General features: G+C 42.7%; 1 pseudogene, besides 3 other annotated features; it reads right to left on the bottom strand.

The window, feature by feature from the left end:
- Positions 2,408-2,702: an enhancer, noted in NCBI's record as "tiled region #6579; HepG2 Activating non-DNase unmatched - State 5:Enh, and K562 Activating non-DNase unmatched - State 7:EnhWF". NCBI's record gives its function as "activates a minimal TATA promoter and a strong SV40 promoter by Sharpr-MPRA in HepG2 and K562 cells {active_cell/tissue: HepG2 | K562}" and the evidence as "EXISTENCE:reporter gene assay evidence [ECO:0000049][PMID:27701403]".
- Positions 2,408-3,022: a biological region, named in NCBI's record as "Sharpr-MPRA regulatory regions 2431 and 6579".
- Positions 2,728-3,022: an enhancer, noted in NCBI's record as "tiled region #2431; HepG2 Activating DNase matched - State 5:Enh". NCBI's record gives its function as "activates a minimal TATA promoter and a strong SV40 promoter by Sharpr-MPRA in HepG2 cells {active_cell/tissue: HepG2}" and the evidence as "EXISTENCE:reporter gene assay evidence [ECO:0000049][PMID:27701403]".
- RPL23AP73 (ribosomal protein L23a pseudogene 73) lies at positions 5,201-5,414 on the bottom strand (annotated as a pseudogene).

Here is an 8,790-nt window from a genome sequence, read left to right as displayed (position 1 = left end):
AGAGGCAGTGACAGAGTGAGACTCTGCCTCAAAAAAGAAAAATGAAATGAAAAAAGAGAAAATGGAGGCAGAGAGAGGCTAGGCCAATCGCTCAACATCAGAGCTGGGATTCACACCAGGTTGATATGACTCAGGTGTCTATGTACCTAACCAAGGCCCCATCCACCTCATTTGACAGCTAGTTGGGGTAGTGAGCACTTGGCTGAGAGTCAGAGACTGAGGTTTGCATCTTATCTTGTTCCCTTCCTCATCGGCTAGGCAAGCTCCTTAATCCTTCTGACCCTCACTACCCACTCCTGTCTGTCTCTGGGCAGTCTGTCAATATCAAGAATGAAAAACGAGTGGGCTTGGCTTGGTGGCTCATGCCTGTAATCCCAGCACTTTGGGAGGCCGAGGTGGGCGGATCACGAGGTCAGGAGTTCGAGACCAGCCCGACGAACATGGTGAAACCCCGTCTCTACTAAAAATACAAAAATTAGCTGGGTATGGTAGTGCTTGCCTATAATCCCAGCTACTCAGGAGGCTGAGGCAGGAGAATTGCTTGAACCCAGGAGGTGGAGGTTGCAGTGAGCCGAGATTGCACCACTGCACTCCAGCCTGGGCAACAGAACGAGACTCTGTCTCAAAAAAAAAAAAAAAAAAAAAGGGCTGTGCGCGGTGGCTCATGCCTGTAATCCCAGCCCTTTGAGAGGCCGAGGCGGGTTGATTATGAGGTCAGGAGATTGAGACCATCCTGGCCAACACAGTGAAACCCCGTCTCTGCTAAAAACTACAAAAAATTAGCCGGGCGAGGTGGCGGGTGCCTGTAGTCCCAGCTACTCGGGAGGCTAAGGCAGGAGAATGGCGTGAACCCAGGGTGGAGCCTGCAGTGAGCCGAGATCGCGCCACTGCACTCCAGCCTGGGCGACAGAGCGAGACTCTGTTACAAAAAAAAAAAAAAGAAAGAAAGACAGGAAGAAAGAAATGGAAAAGAAGGAAAAATGAAGAACTTTCTTTTCACATATTGTCTCCTGCTGAGATGGGATAGGGGTGGTGGCAGGGGTGTATAGATTGGACACCTTAGAGGAATGGAATGTGTGGCCAGGGGATAGGAGTGGAATTAGAAGTGACCATAAGTTGCTTCTCATCTACATCCTAATTTTCTTCCAAGATGTTTCCTCCTATAGACTGTCCCACCCACGCCAACCCTTCCCTTCCTCATCAAAATCCCAGCAGTTCTTCAGGACCAACTCCTATGCCAACACTGATCTAGAATCTACCTCCTTTGTCTCTGGCTTTGGTTAGTTGGCTGTGTGTCTATTGTCTCAACTCCTCCCCATCCAATCACAGGCATGGGCGATTTGAGAGCCAGCTCTTTCTGACCCACCACCCCTGCCTTCCTGGAGAGACCCGCGGGCTTTGTGCTTATTAGGCAGAGTGCAGTATTGAGCTTCGCAGTAGCAGGCAGTCAAATGCTGGCTGACCCGAATGGATGGGGTGTTTTGAGATAATTAAGCAGGGAGTTGGAAATCTCCCCCAACCCACACAACACCCCTGAGTCGGAGGGCTCTCAAAGTGGCAGCAATGGCCATTTTCTTTTCATTTCTCAAGATAACTTAGATTTCATAAAGAATATATGAATATACACTCTTTAAAAAAATGGAATGTTACAAATACAGCAATGTTTCTCTTTGACTGTCACGGCTGTTCCTGGGCCATCACTATTATTAATCAGAGAGTGTATGTAGGAACACTCTGGTTAGCACAAAAGCCTGTCCCCATTTCCACTACGACATCAATCGGTGCTGTGGGCTTGTATGATTTCATCATTCTGCCACCCGTCTTTGGCTGGTCGCCAACCCCAATCCCATTTAAAAAAAAAAAAACAAAAAACAGCTAGATGAGAAATGCTCTGTTGTGGGCTTAGAATTCCTTTCCAGGACACTGTGGCTACCCACTTGGCCGTTGTGGGGAGTTTCCGGCAGTCTCTTTGTGTCAGGCCTGTGGGTCAGGGGAGGGGGGTGAAGGTTGTCACAGGAAGCCAGTCTCTCAGACGTGAATTGGCCGGGCTGGCCATGTCACCTTTGCAGGAATCGGGGGGAAAGGGGAGCAGGAAGTCCTGGCTGGACTAGGACACAGGAATAATACACCCCTCCGTGCATTGTTTTGAAGATCAGAAGAGAAATTGTGTGAAAGCTGTACTTGTACAGCATGGAAGACAGGAAAGAATATTTAAAAAGGATTGTTTTAATAGTTTGGCTTTGAGAAGGGATCTTATTTAGGCTTTCTTCTTTTAAGGGATCACTATGCTAAGGAAGATGATGTAACGACAGAGATATTTCACTTCCCAGACAAAAATTATATGGTGCAATTGCACACACTTCTGTCGGTGGTGTCTTTAGAAGAATCCTGTGGTCAGAGTGGGCCTGAGTCCTGGGAGATGTGATCATATAGTCAGACTCCCCAAGCACAACGTGTTTGGATGGGAGTTCGTTTGTCAGACCACAGGAAATTGCATCAGATGACTAGTCTCTGGATGGCATTCAAGCCTGGGAATATCTGTGACTGTGTTTGGGGAAGACTCTAGGCCTGGCTGGGCAGCAAAGACGGGGAATGACCTGCTGGCTGCTGCTTAGTTGGCATATGAAGGGGAAGGAAGCTTGTCATTAAACTCATGGCAAGAAAGAGCAACTCCATGGCATTCTGTCTGTGTGGGGAGTGACCAGTACTTTTCTCTTCCTTTCTTTCTTTGAGAAGTCTCTTTTCACACATTCATAGTTTTGTTTTTGTTTTTTTCTTTTTCCTGGTTAAAACATCTCACCCACTTCCCCTGCCAACCCATTCCCGTCCAATCAGCAATCACAGTCCAAATGTCAAGGTCTCTTCCCTGATGTTTACAAGGGTGAGTGTTATGAGCCTTCTCCTCTTCCCAGATTACACATATTGGGTAAAGAGATGAAGTCTGTCTCTGTCACTCAGGCTGGAGTGCAGTGGTGATCATAGCTCACTGCAGCCTCGAACTCCCAGGTTCAAGCAATCCTCCTGCCTTCACACAGACTACAGGCACACACTACCATACCTAGCTAACTTTAAAAAAAATTGTAGAAATGGGGTCCCACTATGTTACCCAGGCTGGTCTTGAACTGGCCTCAAGTGGTCCTCCAACCTCGGTCTTCCAAGGTGCTGAGATTACAGAAATGTGCCGCTGCATCCAACCAATTTTTTAATAGCTTGATCATGGTATGGTCCCCTTGGTTGCTGCAAATCTCATGGAACTCAGGACAAATGACCATATATGTCAATTTTTTTGTTGTTTCTTTTTATGGTGGAGCGGGGGAGGTGAAAGAGAAAAAGTTTAGAGCTTCAGGGTCTTTTCACTCAGAATTTGGGGTGAACATACTCATATGGTTAAGTTGTGGTAATGAACAGCCACTCAGACTCTCATTTTAGGGAATAACTAGTGTTTTAATTTTTAAAAATGGAAACTTATGTTTCTTCCTACCCTGTCCTTGACATCACGTGGTCTTTCTTACAATGATTCACACTGGCTCCAAGATATTGTGTCCATCTCTTCTTCTTCTTCTTCTTCTTCTTCTTCTTTTTTTTTTTTTTTTTTTTTTTTTTTTTTTGAGAAGGAGTCTCGCTCTGTCGCCCGGGCTGGAGTGCAATGGTGCCATTTCGGCTCACTGCAACCTCCACCTCCCGGGTTCAAGCAATTCTCTGCCTCAGCCTCTTGAGTAGCTAGGATTACAGGCGTCCACCACCACATCAGGCTAATTTTTGTATTTTTAGTAGAAATGGGGTTTCACCATCTTGGCCAGGCTGGTCTTGAACTCCTGACCTCGTGATCCTTCTGCCTCAGCCCCCCAAAGTGCTAGGATTACAGGCATGAGCCACTGGGCCCGACCTGTCCATCTCTTCTTAATGTTCCATTTATAAGGTCATGCTGATACCTTAAAATTGGCCATAGTGAGAGTATTTAAACCGTGGAAATGGGCAAATGCTACAAATCGAGTATCTCCCCATCCCCAAGATCTGGCTGTTAAATACTTAGCAGCTCATCATTGTTTTTCTATCTCAGTAGCGACGGCTCCATGCAGAAGGCCAGGGTTATGTCTAAAAAGAAAAAGACAAAGTTAAAGAAAAGTTTACTGTTCCTTAATTATCTTGTTATCATGAAGATACAAAAATTCATTTGGAAGAGAGGTTGTAAGGATCAGCTTTTACATTGACATGTGAACTTATTTCCTCCAAAACAAAACGAATCAAAGGAAGGATATTAATTTGTTTGAGCAAATATGTCAGTATTTGTCAGGAAAAAAAAATTCAATGTCACGCCAAGTTGGCAGGATATTATTTTATAAAGCAGAGGGCATAGTCTGGGTTGAATTACTCCCCTATTCAAGTTTGTTATTACAAATTGTATTCGTGGAGAACAGCCTACTATATTCACTACTTAATTTTGATTGCTGATTAATGTTTTTGATAGCTAAATAGCCTATATACACCTGGCCCAGGGGCTACAATAACAAACAAAATGAAGTCTCAGCTCCTAGTGAGCTTGAATAGCAAGATATAATCTCACCCATGCATAGATATGATCTATTTTAATTGGAGTAAGTGGAGTGGTCAGATCATATCACCTTCATGGAAAGGTAAGACATGAGGGAGTCTAAATGTGTGTGTGTGTGTGTGTGTGTGTGTGTGTGTTGAATGCTGGAGGTGAGGGTGGTATGAGATAGGAAGGACATTTGAGGCAGAAGGCAGAGTACAGGGGAGTGGAACAGCATATTACTTTTGGGTAGATATATACCAAATATTTCATATGAGTATGGAAGCAATGGGAATGGATGATCTATGCCTTTTCTTCAGCAAGCAGTAAGTTGGGGAGCTACTTCCAATTCCATATTTTTTTTATGGTGAAAAGATATACATATATTTAGAATTAGCCAGCTGGACTCAGTTTAGATGATCCCAATTTCGTTGGTAACGTCCAAAGCATCGTAATCAGGAGCCAGTTGAACATATGCCTTCTTCTCTCCATCAGGCTGATCAGGGTGTTGACTGCGGCCACATCAATGTCACAGAGCTTCTTCACGGCCTATTTGATCTGGTGCTTTTTGGCTTTAACATCCACAATGAACATGAGTGTGTTGCTGCCTTCTGTCTTCTTCATGGCAGACTCAGGGGTCAGCAGAAACTTGATGATAGCATAGTGATCAAGCTTGTTTCTCCCAGGGGCGCTCTTCTGAAGATATCTGGGCTGCCTCAGGAGTCACAGTGTCTTGGGCGGCCAGAAGGTGGGTGGATCTTCTTTTCTTGTGGATCTTCTTTTTTATGTGGCTGTGGACACCTTTCAACACTGCCTTTAAAGCCTTTGCTTTGGCTTCTGCTTTAGGAGGGGCAGGAGCTTCCTTCTTCGCTTTTGGCGCCATCTTGTGAACAGGGTCCAATTCTGTATTTTAATTGGAGTGCTTAGTATATTAACATTTAATATAATTGTCGATATGGTTGAATTTAGGTCTGCAACATTATTGTCATTTTTCCTGTATGCCTCTTGTGTTTTGTTCCCGTGTTCCTCTTTTCTTGCCTTCTTTTGGATTCTTTGAATATTTTTTTGAATTCCATTTTAATTTATGCTTGGGGATGCATCACCTTCCTAGCACATTGATGTATGATCACCTGCCAGGTAGCTCACCTGAGCTTTAGTGTCCAGAGTTTTTACTGAAGGTCTTTCCATACATTTTAATTTCCCTTCAGCCTAAAGCACTTTTTATTTTGTAGTGTAGGTCTTTTGGCAATGAATTCTTTTTGTTGGTGGTGGTGTTTTTTGTTTTGTTTTGTTTATTTGTTTGTTTGTTTTTGAGATGGAGTCTTACTCTGCCACAGAGGCTGGAGTACAATGGCATGATCTTGGATCACTACAACCGGCACCTCCTGGGTTCAAGTGATTCTCCTGCCTCGCCTCCTGAGTAGCTGAGATTACAGGCATCCACCACCGGGCCTGGCTAATATTTGTATTTTTAGTAGAGACAGGGTTTCACCAGGTTGACCAGGCTGGTCTCAAACTCCTGATCTCAGGTGATCTGCCCATCTCAGCCTCCCAAAGTGCTGGGATTACAGGAGTGAGCCACTGCACCCAGCTGGCAATGAATTCTTTTAGATTTCTTTTATCTGAAAATTCCTTTATTTTGCCCCAATTCTTGAAGGCTATTTTCATTGGAAGTAGAATTCTGGGTTGACAGTTTATTTTTTCTTTCAGTACATTACAAATGTTATTTGGCCTCCATAGTATCTGGTGAGAAGTACATGGTCATTTGAGTTGTCATTCCCCTGTATGTAATCTGTCATTTTTCTCTGACAGGCATCAGGTTTTCTTTTTATCTTTGGTTTTCAGCAGTTTCATAATGATTTGTCTACACATAGATTTCTTCATCTTTATCCTGACTGGGGTTTGCTGAATTTCTTGTGCCTGTAAATTAATGTCTTTCACCAAATTGGGGAAAATTTCAGCCATTGTTCTGCAAGATTTTTTTCTGCCCCATTCTTTGTCTCTTTCTCTGGGACTCATTAAAAGTGTCTTAGACATTTTGATGTTGAGGATCTCTTCTATTTTATTTTTTTTCTTCAGATTAGATAATTTCTGTTGATCTAGTTTCAAATTCACTGACTCCTCTGTCATCTTCTAACTGCTGTTAATTTTTAATTTTAGATATTTTAATCAATTTTAGAACTTCCGCATGGTTTATTTGTATAGTTTTTATTTATCTGCTGAGATTTTCCATTTGTTTATTTATTACAGATATATATTTTTCTTTACATGATTATGCATGGTTACAACAGGTGTTTTAAAATCCTTGTCTAATAATTACAACATATGGGTCATCTTGGATTGGGCTTTTGATTGTATGTTCTCTTGAGAAGGGATCACATTTATCTGTTTCTTTGCTTTTCAAGTAATTTGGGATTGAATTCTAGACATTGTGAATATTATGTTGTATAGATGCTGGCTTCTTTTAGCTCCCTCTGAAAACCATTGATTTTTGTTTGTTTGTTTGTTGCAGGCAGTTAACTGGCGGGATGCAAAGGCAATCTTTGATTCTCAAGTCTCAATTTGGGCTCTTTTTGTTTCTTTCCAAGATCAAGATACAATTTATTGGCCGGGTGCAGTGGCTCACGCCAGTAATCCCAGCACTTTTGGAGGCCGAGGCAGGCAAATCACAAGGTCAGGAGTTCAAGACCAGCCTGGCCAATATGGTGAAACCCCGTCTGTACTAAAAATACAAAAATTAGCCGGGCAAGGTGGCAGATGCCTGTAGTCCCAGCTACTTGGGAGGCTGAGGCAGGAGAATCGCTTGAACCCAGGAGGCAGAGGTTGTAGTGAGCCAAGATCGGGCCACTGCACTCCAGCCTGGGAGACAGGGCGAGACTCTGTCTCAAAAAAAAAAAAAAAAAATTTCTTTATTTTACTTGACTAAAATTTCTGTGTTCTTTAAAAAAAAAGAACATATAATAGTTACACATATTTTGGGAGTACATGTAATATCTTTATACCTGTATACAATGTGTAATAATTAAATCAGTATAATTGAGATATTCATCTCCTCAAACTCAGTTTAGATTTTTAACTAGGTTACTTAGAACTTCTCTCCTGTGTATGTAATTCAGGGGTCATCCAGGGATTTGGGCAGAGTTTATTCGCAGAATTTAAGGCTTCCCCTCTCTGCACTCTCCTTTCTGAGATTTCACCATTACTTTCCAGCTGCTGCGGTTGTCCTCAGGTTCTTTAGGACAGAAAGACAGTGACTTCCCTATTAGAGCTTTAGATAGCCTAGGTGCTCTGCCCTTATACTAGAAGCTGTGAAAATAGAAACTCACTCAATACAGTTTCCTGCTTCCACGTGTCAACTAATGTTGGGATTTTCACAAGCGTTGGGTAGTGCAGTTCCCTTAAGTGTTGACTCCCTCCAGAATCTGTATTTTTTTATCCTCCAGTGCATTCAGGTTGTTTATTGTGGTACCTTGTCCAGAATTTATAGTTATTATTTATGGGAATATCGGTATGATTGCAATGAGTTGGGGAGTAACTTGGAGATGAGAAATTTTTTTAATTTTTAATTTTTGTGGGTATATAGTAGGTGTATATATTTATGAAATACATGAGATATTTCGATATAGACATGCAAGGCATAATATTCACATTGGGATTGGGTATCCATCACCTCAAGTGTTTATACTTTCTTTTACAAACAACCCAATTATACTCTTATTTATTTATTTATTTATTTATTTATTTATTTATTTATTTTCAGATGGAGTCTCACTCTGTCACCTGGGCTGGAGTGCAGTGGTGCGATCTTGGCTTACTGCAAGCTCTGCCTCCCGGATTCACACCATTCTCCTGCCTCAGCCTCCCAAGTGCTGGGACTACAGGCGCCCGCCACCACGCCTGGCTAATTTATTTCTGTATTTTTGGTAGAGACAGGGCTTCACCGTGTTAGCCAGGATGGTCTCGATCTGCTGACCTCGTGATCCGCCCACCTCGGCCTCCCAAAGTGCTGGGATTACAGGCGTGAGCCACCGCGCCCGGCTGCTCTTAGTTATTTTTAAATGTACAACTAAATTATGATGGACTGTAGTTACCCTTTGTACTGTCAAATACTAGATCTTATTCATTCTTTCTAACTAATTTTTGTAGCCATTAACCATCTCCAACTTCTCCCCACCCACTACTACCCTTCCCAGCCTCTGGTAACCATCCTTCTACTCTCTGTCTCTATAAGTTTAATTGTTTTCATTTTAAGCTCCCAC

Source organism: Homo sapiens, chromosome 17 (assembly GCF_000001405.40).
Source record: "Homo sapiens chromosome 17, GRCh38.p14 Primary Assembly".
Lineage (NCBI taxonomy): Eukaryota > Metazoa > Chordata > Mammalia > Primates > Hominidae > Homo > Homo sapiens.
The sequence above is the reverse complement of the archived record's forward strand: the minus strand, read 5'-3'. Positions and strand labels throughout refer to the sequence as shown.